Below are 17,374 nucleotides of genomic sequence, written 5' to 3' on the forward strand. Positions count from 1 at the left end.
GTGCCATTGCACCCCAGCCTGGGCGACAAGAGTGAAACTCCATCTGAAGAAACAAAACAAAACAACAACAACAACAACGAGGATCAGATTTAGTTGAAGTGCACTTTTTTGGTTAGATTTCTGAAACAAAAATTTTAAGAGATAACAGGCTTTTCAAGAGGACAGAGAAGACTGGAGCAGGAAGGGAACTTAGAGATCATCTAGGGATGAGATAAGGAAACTTTGGCCCAGAGGGTATATGACAAATTCACAGCTTCACAGATTAGTCTTTGAGTTTCCAGACTGACAGGTGTATTTCTCACTTCCTTTCCTGTCTCCCATTATAGCTGGTTCTGTGATGTTTTTTTCTTTTCCAACATCCCTTTATTTTCCCATCCTTGATTCTTGCTCTGTGCAATACCTCTTCCTCCAGGAGCAAGCAGATTCAGAACTGACCAGTCACAGAATGGCATCCCCCTGGCCAAGGGGACTGGTTCAGAGCAGGCACATGGCACTCTCCAGTGAGAGTGAAAGCCAGCACTGTGGCCAAAATGGTGTTTAACGAAGCACTCCTTTCCAGCTGGGTTTGGATTTAGGCGAATCTAAGCCAGAACTTTCGGGGGCTCTCACGTGGAGGGCATCAGTCAGAGACTGGAACCAGCACAGGTGAGCCAAGAGATGCAGGCAAAGAACTCTGCATGGGGGTTTATGGTTCTCATGCGTGGGAATGAACAACCAGCAAACTGATTGTCCCATACATAACAGCTACAGACTGAATGAAATAGAAACATAACTCCCTGAGAGCTCTAGAGACTAAAAACAAATTAGGCAGTTTTTAAAGGGGCTGTTGAAACTCGGAATAAGAGAGTTGCATAAAGTAAGTCCTCTTCCTCCTTTTTCATGGCTTTACACTGAAGATAGTCATGGCAGTGTAGTGGCTGGTGGCCACACCACAATAGAAAAAACCACCAACCGGGCTGGGCACAGTGGCTCACGCCTGTAATCCCAGCACTTTCAGAGGCCGAGGTGGGAGGGTCACCTGAGGTCAGGAGTTCCACACCATCTTGGCCAACATGGCGAAACCCCGTCTCTACTAAAAATACAAAAATTAGCCGGGCATGGTGGCACACGTCTGCAGTCCCAGCTACTTGGGAGGCTGAGGCAGGAGAATGGCTTGAACCTGGGAGGCGGAGGTTGCAGTGAGCCAAGATTGCGCCACTGCACTCCAGCCTAGGCGACTGAGTGAGACTCTGTCTCAAAAGAAAAAAAAAAGAAAGACCCACCAATCTTCATTCTAGAGGAGCCACAGAAAGAAGTCCTGGAGCATTCAGAGCCTCCAGAGAGTGAAAGGGAAACCCCAGAAAGGAGAGAGAGCCAAAGAAGAGGAACCCCGCATTTTCTGTATAAGCAGCCTAAATCTCTGGCTGGCTGACTCTTGAACTATGTGTGCGGGGGGCAAACTGGAAGCAATTTGTAATTAAGGTCTAAAGAATGGAACTGACATCTTAGTCACTGACCACTGCAGATGCAAAAGACCAAAACTTGATCCAACCAAGCTTAATTGTCTGTTAAACCTAAAATATCAACATTCTTTGGAGAATTATAATACAATACAGAGTCTGCAACATAACATTAAAAAATTTCAGGATGTGATACAAAATTACTTGTCATATGAAGAGTCAGGAAACTGTGACAAATTCTCAAAGGAAAAGACAGTCAACTATGCCAACCCTGAGATGACTCAGATGGAGGAACTGTCAGACAAGAACTATATGCAGCTATTATAACTATGATCAGTAAGGCAGAAGGAAATCCAAGCAGATAAACTGAAAAATTTAAAAAGAACCAAGTGGAAATTTTAGAAGTGAAAAATACAGTATCTGAAATAAGAATTCAGGAAGGAACAAGCCATGAATTTTCATACATGTGAGCAAATAAATTTTTTTTAACGTTTTTTGAATTGGGTTTTCTGTCTCTCTTTCTTCTGTTTTTTTTTTTTTTTTTTTTTTTTTAATACAGGGTCTTGCTGTGTTGTCCAGGCTGGATTCAAATTCCTGAGCTCATGCAATCCTCCTGTTTCAGCCTCCTGAGTGGCTGGGACTACAGGTGCACACCACCACAGATGGCCTGAATTGAGTCTTCTATTTCTTGCAGTTTAAAGATTCCTGACAATATATCCACTTGAGACTGTGCTTTTGCTAACGTTAGTGTTGGCTGCTACGCAACTGCTTACAGCCTTGCTACTCAGAGTGTGACCCAAGAGCCAGCAGCATGAATGTGACCTGGGACTTGTTAGAAATATAGTCTCATGCCCCAGCCCAGACCTACGGAATCGGAACCTCTCTGCATATTAACAGGATCCCTAGGTGATTTGCGTGCATATTCAGATTTGAAAAGCTGATATAGAGAAAATCAGAATCACCAGCAGATTTCATTTTATAGGATAAACAGTTAAAGAGCAGTAGGCTATTAGATGGAAGGAAATCTTCCGATTAGAAAGGCAAAAACAGGCTGGGTGTGGTGGCTCATGCCTGTAATCCCAGCACTTTGGGAGGCCAAGGTGGATGGATCACTTGAGGTCAGGAGTTCAAGACCAGCCTGGCCAATATGGTGAAATCCTGTCTCTACAAAAAATACTAAAATTAGCCAGGCATGGTGGTGGGTGCCTATAATCCCAGCTACTTGGGAAGCTGAGACAGGAGAAGCGCTTGAACCCAGGAGGTGGAGGTTGCGGCCGAGATCCCACCACTGCACTGTAGCCTGGGCGACAGAGCGAGACTTGTATCAAAAAAAAAAAAAAAAAAAAAAAAAAGGTAAAAACAATCCACAAAATAAAAAAAAAAGTGATTGGCCAGGCGCAGTGGCTCACACCTGTAATCCCAGCACTTTGGGAGGCTGAGGTGGGTGGATCACCTGAGGTCAGGAGTTCGAGACCAGCCTAGCCAACATGGTGAAAGCCTGTCTCTACTAAAAATATAAAAATTAGCCGAGTGTGGTGGCGGGCGCCTGTAATCCCAGCTACCCGGGACGCTGAGGCAGGAGAATCACTTGAACATGGGAAGCGGAGGTTGCAGTGAGCCGAGATCGAGCCACTGCATTCCTGCTTAGACGACAGAGCAAGATTCTGTCTCAAAAAATAAAGAAATAAAAAATAAACAAAAACATACCCACACATAAAACAAATATTTTTGAGCACCTTTCTGCCAGGTGGGAGACTCATTAAGTGATCAAAACAGACAAAAGCCTCAGCCTTCATGAGGCTTATATTTTGCAGGGGCAGGTAGGCAGACAAAATCACATAAAAATCTATGGTATGTGAGATGGTGATGAGTGCTAAGAAGACAGGGAAGGGGCTAAGAAGTGGGTTTTTTTTTTTGTTGGTTTTCGTTTGTTTGTTTTGTTTTTGCTTTTGTCTTATTCAATTTTAAATAGAGTGGCCAGGGAAGGCCTTGCTGGGATGTTTAAATAAAATCCTGAAGAGGAGTTCAGTGGCCAACCAGCATGTTTTTTTTTAAAGGTTCACCTCATTAACAATTCAAGAAATGCAAATCCAAGCAATAAAAATATTCAGTTGTTCACCCATCGAATCTAGTCAGCAAGGATTAAAAGGAATGCTAAAACCTATAGCCTGTGAGGTCAGGGGTAAAATACACACCTTTCAACCCTGGAATGACATGTTTAGAAATGTATCCTAAGGAAGTAAGCATGGATATGTACAAAGATTCCGCTCTAAGTGAGACACTTTTGGTCTCTCCACTATGATTTCCTTCCATGGATATTAAACTAATTTGGCAACAAGCAAGAAAAACAGAAAAATACACTTTATGTTTCTGCAAACTGTGTCCTCTTCCCCATCCTGTTTCCAGAACCAGAAAACCAGGGGGTGTGATGATGGAATTACCATGTAGCTACACAGTACCACAGCAAAGACGGGTGAGACAGCTGGGGATGGGGAAGAAAGGAGAGCCCTAGTCTGGGACGGGCTTGAGAACAATTTAGGAGGGGGACTCCCTCACAGGGCTCCTGGTTGGTCATGGGGTGAAGGTGCAGAAGTGACAGGGTCAGGGTGACTCTGGGATTTGGGCCTGGGAGCTGAAAGAAGGGTTGGGGAGGAATATAGGGCCAGGAAGAGGTCTGGAAGAAAGGCAGCATAGATGATGAGCTTGGTGTGGGCCGTGTTGAGTTACCAGTGTCCGAGGGACAATCTGAAGAAGTGTCAGGAGCCATGGATGGACTAAGGGCTTGGGAGGCAGTGCAAGAACCAGGAAAAGGAGTGCCTGCTTTGGAGTTGGACAAATTGGGCCTGCCCCCACCGCCTTCTGGCCATGTGACCTTGGGTGCATCACTTAACTGTGCTGCATTCCAGCTTCCTCATCTCCAAAATGATGGTGATGATCATATCTCCCTCAGCGGGTGTTGTGGAGACTGGAGGTAGATGGTGATGGGATCTATTCACAGTTCCCAGCAGGGAGTGTCACATAGCAGGAATTCAGCACACAGTAGCTATTAGTTGTTAAAACATTGGTTTAGCTCTTTTTCATGTGGCTTCTGCCTTTCTCTCCTCCCTCTTTTGGGCTGTCCCTCTGCCTGGAATGCCCTTCACTTCGTTTTGGAATTTGCAAGCTTTTCCTGACTCCCCTCCTCTCTTCCTCCAACCCATTATGTATGATCAGGTAGCACTGAAGTCACGCATGGGATGGGGGTCAGCCTTAGACCAAGCAGGAAGACACAAAGGCTGACGCTGGAAACCTGCAGAGTGACTAAGGATGGATGGAGGCGGGTCCAGAAAGAAACCAGGGAGAAGGAGGAAAGCCAGAAAGGGCGGACCAGGATGCTAGGAAAGAAGAGCGATCCAAGGAGGGTACGATCCACAGTGTGAAGCTCATGGAGGAGGACGTCAAGCAAGTCAAGGCCTAACCCATGCCCATTAGATCTGGAAATGGAGAGGCTGGAGCCTTGGATTCGAGGGAGTGGTGGAGACAGGAATCAGGGTAGGAAACGGGGAGGCAGAAATGAGGGGTGACGAGGCAAAGCCAGCAAGTGGAGACAAGCATGAAGGGAAGGAGAGAAATGGGGTGCTTGTCGGGGGCACCAGGGTTGAAGAAAACTTTTTTTTTTTTCATTTTAAAGGTGGGTGATTCTTGAGAACATCTTCAAAGCCTGTGAGAAGAGCTGAAGCCAGAGCAGAGAGGAAAACAGGTGTGCTGACGGTCGAAGACATAGAGCAGTCCTTTTGATGAGGAAGCAGGAAGGTCTTTAGTCATTCCCTTTCACCTTGGCACTCCCCCTGGAATTTTCTTTCACTTCCTGAGAATGCATCTAGTCTCAGCAGTTTTTCTTCAGCTTAAGTGTTTTCAGACCAGGCAACCGCATTAGTCCAAGAGTCTCAAGAAGTCCCCCTAGGGAACATGATTGATTGTGTTTTGTACTAAGCTCAAGTGATACACAAGCCTGTCTCCAAATGGATGACTGTCATAAGGTCCTTATCACCTCCATCCAAGGTCAACAGAGCACATACAAAAGTACCTGCCCTGAATCTGGTAGTGGGGTCTGGGGTCGGGGGCTGGGGGTGGGTGGTCAGGTGACAGCAACTTGAACTGACACTAAAATAGGAAAATCCACATGCTCCTACTTAAAACAGATTCCAGATGGAGACACCAGTGATGGAGTCAGTGGGTATAATTTGAGGTTAATTGTGCTGCAAATAGTCTTTCTTTTAATGATGAATGAAATGTTGTCTTTTAAAAGCAAGCTTGGTAGATAACTTCTGCATAGATTATCCTGAACTTATGCCACATAAGAAATTGACTTTGTTTAATGGCAAAAATAATGGCTGAAACACACAGGTACACAAATTCTCCCTGCTGGCTTCATGTACAAAATCACCGGGGAGAGGCAGGGATCAGTCCTGGTAATTTTTTCTTAGGGACCCCCTTTTGTTCTCAGCCTGAGATGTCATAGATTTCCTTCAGGTCAGTATCAGGCATCCCAAATCTGTGCCTAGTTCTGTATGCTTAGATCCTGCTCCTTCCTGAGCACTCCCTGGTTGAGACCGCTGCACACTAATTTCTCTGCCCAGCCACTGTCACTGTCTTTCACTCACCTACTTGGACCAGTCTGTACCCTGTCTGGAGACTGGTTATAGCTTCACCCTCAGGACTCGTGGCTGCCCACACCAGCTGGTCACAACCTTCAGCCAGGATCATCACTCTGGGGGCTCCTCTAGCCACTCTGCCCTTCCAGTGCCACAGGGAGCAGGGAGGTGACTGCTGTGCTTGGCAGGCTGATAAACTACTGGCACTTGCCTGCGAGGATAGGCTCATGCCGAAGCATCTCCTTGACGGTTGCCAAGGGTATGCTCCTGATTGGACACATGGGCTCACTGGCTTTGTGGCTTCCTGGGAACACATCTTTAATAGTAGCCTATTTGGCACCATCCTGGGCCCTGCAGGGGGCAGTGGAAGGAGCAAGGGCTGTGGCCAGACCCAACTGGGTGAGGACCTGGATCTGCATCTTCATATCTCTGAACCTCACAGGGTGAGAGGATTATGTATGACACAGGCACAACACTTCACATACAATCAACATTCAACAAACGTTGGTCCCTTTCCTCCTGCCTTCTGCCCCACCACAAAATCCCAACATGATCAGGCTAATTTCCTGGAAGGGGAATGCACCAGGCTGCCCTCTGCTTCTGTCTCCTGGCAAGGAGTAAGTGAGGCTGTTACCTGCTTGTTTGCTGCTTGAGATTTCTTCATGGGGGGCTCCTCCTTAATGGGTCCCTGCTTTCCTTTTTTGACCCTCCGTTTCAGCTCATCCTCTTCCTTTTGTCGCTCCAGCTCCTGCTGTAGCTTCTTTTCTTGCATTTCCTTTGCCAGCCTCTCCTGCTCCCTTCATCAAACCAGGCAGAGAAAAAACAGTTCAGGGGCCCCCATGCCTCACCCCTCTGCTGCCTGGGATTTCCAGGTGTAGGGACATTGGGCAGAGCTTTCTTGGGCATAAAAAGAAAGAACAAAGTAAGCTGGATATGTGGAAGGAAAGGAGAAAGGAAGAGAAGGAAAGAAAGAAAAAATGACTACCATCTATGTTTGAATGGTCATTCATCAAGACTCTGATTTATTGAAACTCAACTAGGAGGAATTCTCCATTAATCTGTATTTTGAGTCCAATCTCCTCTCATGGGAGAGTGAGAAAAAGGCTGAAAATAAGCTTGATATTAGCACTTAAAAAAAGCAACTTTCAAAGATTGTTCTGGTATTAGTGCAGATGAGGCCCGCCTCCCATAGCTGAGCATGTTTGCTGTTCAGAAAATAAGAATTTTTTTTTTTTTTTGACAGAGTCTCGCTCTGTCACCCAGGCTGGAGTGCAGTGGTGTGATCAGCTCACTGCAACCTCCACCTCCTGGGTTCAAGCAATTCTCCTGCCTAAGCCTCCTGAGTAGCTAGGATTACAGGTGTGCACCAACATGCCCGGCTAACTTGTATTTTTAGTAGAGACGGGGTTTCGCCATGTTGGCCAGGCTGGTCTCGAACTCATGACCTCAGGTGATCCTCCTACCTTGACCTCCCAAAGTGCTAGTATTACAGGCATGAGCCACTGCGCCCAGCCAGAAACGGTATTTTCAAAGCAGTTTCTATGGTGGCTAGCTCAGAGCCATGGTGCTCAGTCCGAAAGCCGTGTTCCCCTCCTCCACCCTCTCTTTCCCTTTCCGCTGTCATTCAACTGCTCCTGCCCCTGCTGCTGACAGCAGAGAGTGGACCAAAGCCAAGCACCAAGCACAAACAAGTGAGGGAATGGTACTTCTGAAAATAGTTAACCCAGCTATTTTCATCCAGGAATTCCTAATTGTTTCTGGTTGCCATGGCTCTCTGCCCACTGAAGCAAACTCATTTACTTCATGGTGTGTGTGTGTGCATGTGTGTGTGTGTGTGTGCGCGTGTGTGGTGTGACACAAACAAGTTGTTGCTGCACTTTGAGAATCAAATTTGCATTTTCCAAGTCCACCATGAGATGAATGCCTGAAAGCAACAGCCCTGGTGAAAAACGAGTTTCCTCTAAAATCTCAAAGCAAGGCTTTCTGTAACTCTGGAGGACTGGGCATTTCTATAGTGGACCATGCCACAGAAAGATCAGGGCACACCCAGCTGGGCGCTGTGGCTCACGCCTGTAATCTCAGCACACTGGGAGGCTGAGGCAGGCAGATCACTTGATCCCAGGAGTTCAGTTCGAGATCAGCCTGGCCAACATGATGAAAACCTGTCTCTACTAAAAATACAAAAAAATTGGCCGGGCATGGTGGTACATGCCTGTAATCCTAGCTACTTGGGAGAGTGAGGCAGGAGAATTGCTTGAACCCAGGAGGTGGAGGTTGCAGTGAACTGAGATTGTGCCACTCAAGGCGTGATGGAGGAACTCCAGCCTGGATGACAGAGCAAGAGTCTGTCTCAAAAAAAAAAAAAAAAAAAGATTAGGACATACTGTAGCAGCAGGGAGGGCAAAAGCTGTTTCAGGTCAGTGGGAGAAGTGTGGAGCTGGAGGAGAGAACAGGGTAAATAGTAGGTGAGTATCTAGGCTCTGTACCTCCAGCGCCTGAAATCCCAGGGAGGAGGTAGGAAATAGAACCACTGCCCCCCACCCCATCCCTGCAATCTTTGAAGATCTGAGGGCAGAAAGGACACATGTCCCACTGTTCCCATCCCTCTGAGATAGCCCGAGGTGGCAGTCCTAAGTATCCTGGGCACTAGGAGGCATGGGGGGATCGAGTAGTTTCTGTGTGGTTCCCAGGGAGGGGCAGAGAAAGTGGCTGAGGGTGCTGGCTTGTGAGTCTGCCCACAGTCCCAGGATTGAGGATCTGCCCAGGCTGAGGATCCCATGGCAGCTAGACCTCAGGGGATGGGCAGCACCGCCCAAGGCCAAGAAGGGGACCCAGGCAGGGGGAGGAAGGGCTGAGATTTGGGGAGCAGTCACTATGCCCAGGTCAATAGAGTGGACCCTGGATCACCAGCTGTGGACATTGAAGCACCGAGGCAGTGAGCACAGAGGCTGATAAGCCACACGCGGGGGTGCTGGTCAGGGGGGGCCAGCAGGGGCCCCAGGGCAGCACAGAGGCCAGTGGCCCCTCTTCCAGGGCCACCCATGACATTACAGCCTGGTCCCAAATGCCCGCCAGTGAGAAATAAGGAGAGTGGGAGAAACCCTGAATGGTGCAGCAGCCAGCACCCTTGATGGGCGGGATGCATCTTTCTGCTCCTTGCAGGTCACCTTCCAGGGCCTTCTGCAGCTCCTGCTGCCTGCCTGGAAGATGGCTTGGGCTCACACCCCGGTCCTGGTCACTCTGTGGGGACGGTCCCGGGGGAATGGCTTCTGCTCTGGCCAGCCCTTGGCCCTGACCTCTTCTTCCGCTCGCGGAGCGCCTGCTGAATCCCCCGATCGAATGTGAGTTTCTCCTCCTCAGTCAGGGCATCATATTCTTCCTCATCCATGTTTTGGAGACGCTCCTTCTCTTTCTCAAGAGCTCCCTTGTGCTTGCGTTCTGTGAGGGGAACAGAGACGGGAAGGTGAGGAAAAGTCCTTCTCAGTCTCGCTAGCAGCCTAAGCAGGCGGAGTAGGGTCTTAGTGTGGGGCAGCTGGTACGGCGCCTGGTCTGCCTCATCCCTGATTGCAGGGGTGGGGGGGTCCCTTCATCCATGCACTTCCACATTTGGGCTCTGTCTGCAGGTGGCTGAACAGTGGCCCCCAAAGATGCCCATATCAGATTACTCAGAACCTGTGACTGTGTTGTCTTCCATAGCAGAGGGACTCTGCAGATGTGATTAAATTTAAGGATCTTGAGGTGGGCAGATTATTTTGGGGGGCCCAGTCTAATTATAAGGGTCCTTTCGAGGGATGCAGGAGAGTCAGTCAGAGATGGTGATGATGTGATAGTAGGAGCAGGGGTCAGAGGGCTGCAAGGAAGGGGCCAGGAGCCAAGGAGTGCAGAAGGCCTCTAGAAGCCAGAAAAGACAAGAAAAAGGGGCTACCTAACAGCCAAAAAAGGAACGTGGCCCTGCTGAGAAAAGTCCGGAGCAATGACCAGGCATCCCTCAGCAGTCATCAAGCCTCCAGCTGCCTCGTTTTCCAGAAAGTTTATTTCTCCATAATGATCCACTTGAAAATAATTACCACTTCTCATTTTCCCCATTATCTTTGGAATGAAATTTCTCCTGGTTAAATTGTGGGCTCTTCTCCCCTAAATCATCTGCATTTGAAATGTCCTAAGGTAGCATACTGTCATACTACTATTACATTAAAATCTCATGTTTGTTAACATGTATGAACATGCCAGGCACTGGGGAAGGCACTTTACATGATTGCTTATTTAATCTCCACAACAGCCCTATGAGGGAGGAGTTATCATTCTTATCTGTGATTATCCCTTAATAAGTGGCAGGGAAAGATGTTAGGACTTCTGACCCCGGAAGTGTAAGACAATACATTTCTATGTTGTGTTAAGTAACCAAGTTTGTGGTTGCTATGGTGTAAATGTTTGTGCCCCCTCGAAATTCCTATGTTGAAACTGAATTCCCCAAGGGGATGGTATTAAGAAGGGCCTTAGGGAGGTGACTAGGTCACAAGGATAGAGTCCTCATGGCTGGGATTAGTGTCCTTATAAGAGGCCTGAGGGAGCTTGTTTCAGGACTTAGTGAGAAGATGCTTTCTGTGACCAGAAGGTGACACTGTTTCTGTTGGCACCTTGATCTTGGACTTGCCAGCCTCCAGAACTGTGAGAAATAAATGTCTGTTGTTGATAAGCGACCCAATCTATGGAATTTTGTTATGGCAGTCTGAAAAGACTAAGACAGTGGTCATTTGTCACAGCAATGATAGAAGACTCATATACCACCCACTGACTTGACTCATTATGAGCATATGCCACTAACGGGTTCATGGTGACAGGGCCATTTGCACACCAAGGGAAATTCCCTGCCCTGCCCTACGGATTCCAGGTCTAGGCATGTGATTCACACTTAGGACAAAGGCACCAGCTCCTTCCTCACACCTCCCTAGCACAGCATTCTCACCGTCATCCTCGCAAGTTTGAGCTGTGGACTCAGACACCTGCATTTGAGCTCCTTCCCGGCCACTTATCAAGAGATAATCACAGATAAGAATAATAACATACGGCCGTTGTAGAGATTAAATAAGCGATCATGTAAAGTGCTTTCCCCAGTGCCTGGCATGTTCATAGATGTTCGACAAACATGAGATTTTAGTGTAATAATAGTGTGACCGTATACCATCTTAGGACATTTCAATTTAGATGATTTAGGGGAGAGGAGCCCACAGTTGAACTGGGAGAAATTTCATTCTGAAGATAAGTGGGAAAAGGAGAAGTGGTAATTATTTTCAAGTGGATCAGTATGGAGAAATGAGCTTTCTGGAAAACTAGGCAGCTGGAGGCTGGATGACTGCTGAGGGATGCCTGGTCACTGCTCCAGATTTTTCTCAGGATGAGACTATAAAGAAGCTGACTTTGAGTTCTGTTCAAGGACTTCGACAGCCCAGTGTTTGTAAGTATTTCCTTAATTGGAAAAGCATTATGATTTGACTAGATAGTGTTAGAAGGGAGCGGTAAGCCGGAGTGAGGAAGGGCAGTCGTGTGGCTGGAGCCGAAGCTCCTGGGAGGTGGGGCTCTGACTCCCGTAGACAGCGCCACCAGCCTCTGTCCTTCAACCCCTGCCCTGGGGGGCCAAGATTTGCTGGGGCTGCTTCTGACTACATTGGGAACTTAAGCTAACATTACTTGTGTGTGTGTGTACCTATCTTTCAATCAAACCTTTCAGTTATTAAAATTTTTCTCAGGCCATTGGCATAAGGATAGGAAAAGCAAAGGGTTTAGAATTACATGCACCCGGTTCTCCTACTAATTGGCAATGTGATTTGGCACAAGACTTTTGCTATCTCTGAGCTACATTCTCCTTTAGTGTAAAATGGGGACAAGATTCACAGGGTAATTGTGAGGATTAAATGTCCCAAAGTATACAAAATATCTGCTACGGTGCCTGGTGTGCAGCAGGCTAAGGTGTAAATGTTTTGGAAAATGTATTAGCACCGTGAGTTTTATGAGAAATGCACAGTTGGCTTAAACAAAACCAACAAGGAAATCAGTTGCCTGAGTCAGGATGGGACCCGTAATGGCTGTAATTGCAGAAAGGATGGAGGGGTACAGTGTGATGGGAGGGAAGCAGGAATGCACCTGCTGTCAGCAAAGCGTTCATCATAGAACTTCCCAGCCGGCCACTCGCGTCCCAGTTCCCTCCTAGCAAAGCAGAAATACAACTCCTGGCCACCTTACAGGGCAGAGGTGAGGCGCCAACGGAATAGCAAATGTCAAAGTTTCACTTAAGCCCAATGGAAAGGTAGGAGGCCTTGCCTTCTTGCTCCTTTTTGGCTTTCTCCTGGGCCTTCATGGCTGCGTAATCCTGGGCCATGTTGAGAATGTATATATGCTCCCGGCTGCCAATGGCCTTCAGCAGGCAGAGGAGGGCGGCTGCAGCATTCTGAGCAAAGAGAGTGTCGAGGCCATCAAACACCACTCCTCGGTAGCAGTCACTCAGCTGAAACCAGAGAGAGCAAAGACAGTTACTATGGCCACAACCTCATTTGTTCTGTTTATGCTTTTACTGGGGCTGCAAAGGGTTCTGCAGACCTACTGGGCCCCAATGCAAACACCATGCCTTTCTGCTTGCTAAATCCAAGGTGCTGTCATAAAATAAAAGAAAAGAATAAAAATGTTTAATCAGCCAGTCTTTTTTTTTTTTTTTTTTTTTTTGAGACAGAGTCTCCCTCGGTCACTCCAGCGCCCAGGCTGGAGTGCAGTGGTGCAATCTCGGCTCACTGCAACCTCTGTCTCCCGGGTTCAGGTGATTCTCCTGCCTCAGCCTCCCAAGTAGCTGGGATTACAGGTGCCCACCACCAGGCCCGGCTAATTTTTGTATTTTTAGTAGAGACAGGGTTTCACCATGTTGACCAGATTAGTCTCGAACTCCTGACCTCAGGTGATCCACCTGCCTCGGCCTCCCAAAGTGCTGGAATTACAGGCATGAGACACTGCGCCCAGCCAGATGGTCTTTATTACAATAATAAGGGTTTATTCTGTCTGTAGAAATAAATGAACAAACAAAAATGTTAAAGGGCCGATCTGGGAAGATCCATGAGGTACACAAAAATGAGATGGAAAGGGAAAGATGCTCCCAAGCACAGAGTCACAGGCAGCAGGGGGAGCAGCTGGGCCTTTTGTATTTTTCTTATTAGTCTTACTGCCTTGGAGCGTAATGATTTTGGTAACAGTAACCATTGAAGAACAGCCTCTGCCTTACTCAGTGTTACTCAAAGTGTAGCCCATAGACTGGCCACCAGTGAATGAGCGTTAGGTTTTTGATGAGACAAGAAGCTTGTGTCAGAATGTAAATGACCTGTATCACTAAACACACTATTTGGTTCAGCTGGCAACTGAACAGGTACCGTGGCCACATCATTCCTTCTCTGCAGCTAAACTTTGTAGCAAGACTTTGTTGATGAAAGAAGCCCTGTAAGCTCCACGTGTCATCAGAGACCAGCACTTTGAGTAGCACAGCTCCACTGGCTTACTTTGGGGCCTTACCAGTGTTTCTCAGCCTTTACTCTGGGTATCTAAAACATTGGCACACTTATGGGAACACCTTGTTCAAATCAGTTGAAAGTGATGTACCTTTAATGTAGTAGCAGTGCAAATCTTAACATAAAAACTTTCTTGTGATGATATTCCTCCTCTTCTGGGAACGTCAAGTTAATTTTGTTGTATTTAAATCTGCAATTAATATTGTGGCCCTAGTTGAGAACACAAAGCAAACACCCAGCTCCAGGACCTGGTAAGCAATGTAGCTGTGTCTGCAAACCATGAGCAGAAACAGGCTTAAGTGATACCCTCCTCAATCCTGCTGATCTTATTTTCTTGTCTTTAACTGTAGAATTCTTATGGAAAAAAAATTAAAAATTAGAAAGAGTGTTACTGTTTTTCTGACTTTAAAAGCAATATGTCATTGTAAAATAATTCAGAAATGTATAAAGAAGACTAAAATTCTATAATCCTGCTACCCAAAGATAACAATGGTTAACATGTATTTTAAAAGTTTTTACTATGTGTGTAGTATACATTTCTAAATATTTATATAGAATGTTATTATGTTTTAACCAGTATTTCCTAGTTACTTCTTTTTCACTTAATAACATTGAAAATGGGTTTTTGAAGCAATTAACATAGCTCCAAATTCTAACTTTTAGAATGGCTCCACATTGTAATTTTTAACAACATCACTCTCTTTCTGGTCATTAAAAAAACTTTTGTGTAGTCTTCTGCTCTCTGGTCCTTGAAGAAGGTGAATGGCTTCAGGCTGTAGACCGGGCCAGGGTCAGGGGTCGACAAGAGCTGTCAAAAAGACAAGCAAACGACTGCCTTCCGGGCTGCCGAGCTGCCGTGGGTGGCTGATGGCCCAGAACCTCTGTCCAGGGTGTGGGGATGGTGCGTGAATGCCAAGCCCTGCAGCTCTGTGCAGGTGGCATGGACCCACCTGTATCCGCTCTGCCAGGATCTGCACGAGAAGTTCATCCGGGAGCACACAGCTCATCAGCCCGGTCTCGCCTCCGACACTGGGACTAACACTGAGCCAGCGGTGGATGGGCCCCGGGGGGAGAGGGCTGGAGGAAATCTGTTGAGTGGGAGAAGGATCAGGAGTCAGAATCTGGCCTTGTATCTCAACAACTCCTACACTTACCAGCCACAGGACCTTGGGAAGATCACATAATCTGTCATTTCCTCATCTGTACAATGGGAACTGCATTATAAAATGGAAGGACCCTGTCTTCCTTAAAGAACCACTGTAAGTTTCAAGTGGGAATAGCATGGAAGGTACGTTGTTTGTGTACTGAACTGCACGCAGCTTTTCATTCATTCGATAATTATTCACTGAGCACCTATCTTGCACCAGGCATGCTTAGGTACTAGGGATATAACAACAAACAATGGCGCTGCCCCCAGGCATTCCAATGCAATCCACCATTGCATTCCAATGGAAGAGAGAGAAAAGGCCACCTTCCTTCACAAATCAATACAATTTCAGAAAGTGATGAGTGCTAGGAAGGAAATAACCAGGTAAGGGAATAAGGAATCATAACAGGGCTGGGGAAAGACTATGTAGAGAGGATGCTCATGTTACCCGGGTTACGTCAAAGAATGAGACAAGATCTTGGGAGCAGAGCCTTTCTGGGAGTGGACAGCAAGCTCTTTCAACGCAAGTGTGCTCGGGGAATCTCGGGGGCACATGGAGCCCAGTGGGGCTGGAACTGAGTGAGCAATGGGGAAGACAGTCAGGCTGAAGGTTAAAGACACCACACCGCCAGGACCAGAATACGCAGGGCCTTGTAGCCCATGGTCAGCAATTTGTATTTTATTCCAAGTATTATGGGAAGTTGGTGTGTTTCAGCAGACAAATAATCTGATTTATATTTATATTTATTTTATTATATTTTTGAGATGGAGTCTCACTCTGTTGCCCAGGCTGGAGTGCAATGGTGCCATCTTGGCTCACTGCAACCTCCGCCTCTCGGGTTTAAGTGATTCTCCTGCCTCAGTCTCCCAAGTAGCTGGAATTACAGGTGTGCACCACCATGCCTTGTTAATTTTTGTATTTTTAGTAGAGACAGGGTTTCGCCATGTTGGCTAGGCTGGTCTCGAACTCCTGACCTCAGGTGATCTGCCTGCCTCGGCCTCCCAAAGTGCTGGGATTACAGGCATGAGCCATTGCACCCAGCCTGATTTTTATTTTTAAAAGACCACCCTACTCGTCACATGAGGTGACATGAGTGGAAACAGGAAGATGTCACTGTGGTCAGGGCAGGAGATGATGGCAACAGGGATGAGGATGGTGGTGGTGACTGAGACGAAAATGGTGGTGGCGAGAAGTGGCTCATACAGGATATGTTTTGGAAGTAGGGCCAGTAGGACTTCGGATGGAACATAAAGAGTCACCAAAACATGATTCTTTGAGTTTTGACCTTAGCAACCTGGAAAATGGTGAAATTATTTACTAAGAAAGGAAAGACTGGGAGAAGAACAATTTTTGGGGAGCAGTGGAAGCAAGAATCACTTTTTGGATATAAACATTTTGAGATGCCTCTAAGCCCTTCGAGAGAGATTGAAAGGATACATGAACCTGCACTCGGGAAGAAATTAGAGCTGGCAATAGAATTTCGAGAGTCATAAGCATGTTAAAGGTATTTAAATATTTAAGTAATGCAACTGAGTGAGATCGCCTGCAAAGACAATGTAGGAAACAAAAAGGAGAGTAGTAGAAGACTTTGTCCCAGGCTACTCCAATGACTAGGAATTTGGAGATTGAGAAGCTGGGGAAGTAGAGGAAGGAGTTGCTAATGAGGTAGAAGGGAAGGTGGAGGAGTGTGGTGTCTGAAAGCCACACGAAGAAAGCGTTTCCAAGAGGAGGGGGTGATCAGCTGCCAAGAAGTCATGTGAGATGAAGACAGAAAACTGACCTCTGTATTTGTCCAGGTGAAGACTGCCAAGGACCTTGAGAAGAAAGAGCAGCCGTGGAATGGTGGGGACAAAGGCCCCACTGGAAGCAGTGAAACAGAGGATGGGGGTGGGTGTGAGGACGAGGAGGCAGGCAATGCGGCAATTCTTTGGAGGAACAGCAGAGGAGGGGAGCTGAGAGAGGAGGTAATAGGCGGAGGGGGATGTGGGGTCACGGGAAAGCATTTTTAATGATGCGAATAATAATACAGCATGCATAGATGCTGACAGAAGTAGAGTAGGGGGAAAGTGGGAGAGAGGGGACAACTGCAGGAATTTAGCCATTGGATAAGAGAAGGGGTGGGGCTGGGTGCCCATGTGCAGGGATCAGCCCTGGGTGAAGGCAGGGCAGACACTCAGCTGTCGAGAAGGCACAGCCCTGTGTGTGGATGGAGGCTGCTGGAAGACTTGGTGGCCGGAAGATGAGGTCATTGTCTTCTGATTGCTGCAGCTTTCTTGGTGAAATCAGAATAGAGATCATCGGCTGAGAATGAGGAAGAGGAAAATATTTTGGAGGCTAGGAGAGTGATGAGAGCAATAAAGCAGTCATCTTGAATAGATGCAGAGCTGAGCCAGACCAAAGGGCCCATTGGAGACCTGTGGTCTTAAATTTAAATTAAGATCCTTCAGGAGAGGTGAGAGTCTTCCCCAGCTATGTTCAGCTGGTCTGCATGGAGTAGGGGGAGGATTAGGTTTGCCAGGGTTGAAGCTTTGCTTGAGAGTGTGGTGAAGGGCAAGTTGCAAGGGGGTGCTATGGTGGCAGACCATGGCATCCAGACTGGATAGGGAGGG

At 47.1% G+C, this 17,374-nt stretch overlaps 1 protein-coding gene across 1 annotated transcript in view; it reads right to left on the reverse strand.

Annotated features, from left to right (window-relative positions):
* HYDIN (HYDIN axonemal central pair apparatus protein) overlaps positions 1-17,374 on the reverse strand; it is a 428,639-nt gene that overhangs the window by 127,161 nt on the left and 284,104 nt on the right. The window contains exons 42-45 of the mRNA NM_001270974.2: positions 14,568-14,705; positions 12,392-12,575; positions 9,370-9,511; positions 6,708-6,870 (exon numbers count right to left, since the gene is read on the reverse strand). Coding sequence (NP_001257903.1) covers positions 6,708-6,870; positions 9,370-9,511; positions 12,392-12,575; positions 14,568-14,705 — 627 coding nt within the window. The remainder of the gene's footprint in view (positions 1-6,707; positions 6,871-9,369; positions 9,512-12,391; positions 12,576-14,567; positions 14,706-17,374) is intronic.

Source organism: Homo sapiens, chromosome 16 (genome assembly GCF_000001405.40).
Source record: "Homo sapiens chromosome 16, GRCh38.p14 Primary Assembly".
Lineage (NCBI taxonomy): Eukaryota > Metazoa > Chordata > Mammalia > Primates > Hominidae > Homo > Homo sapiens.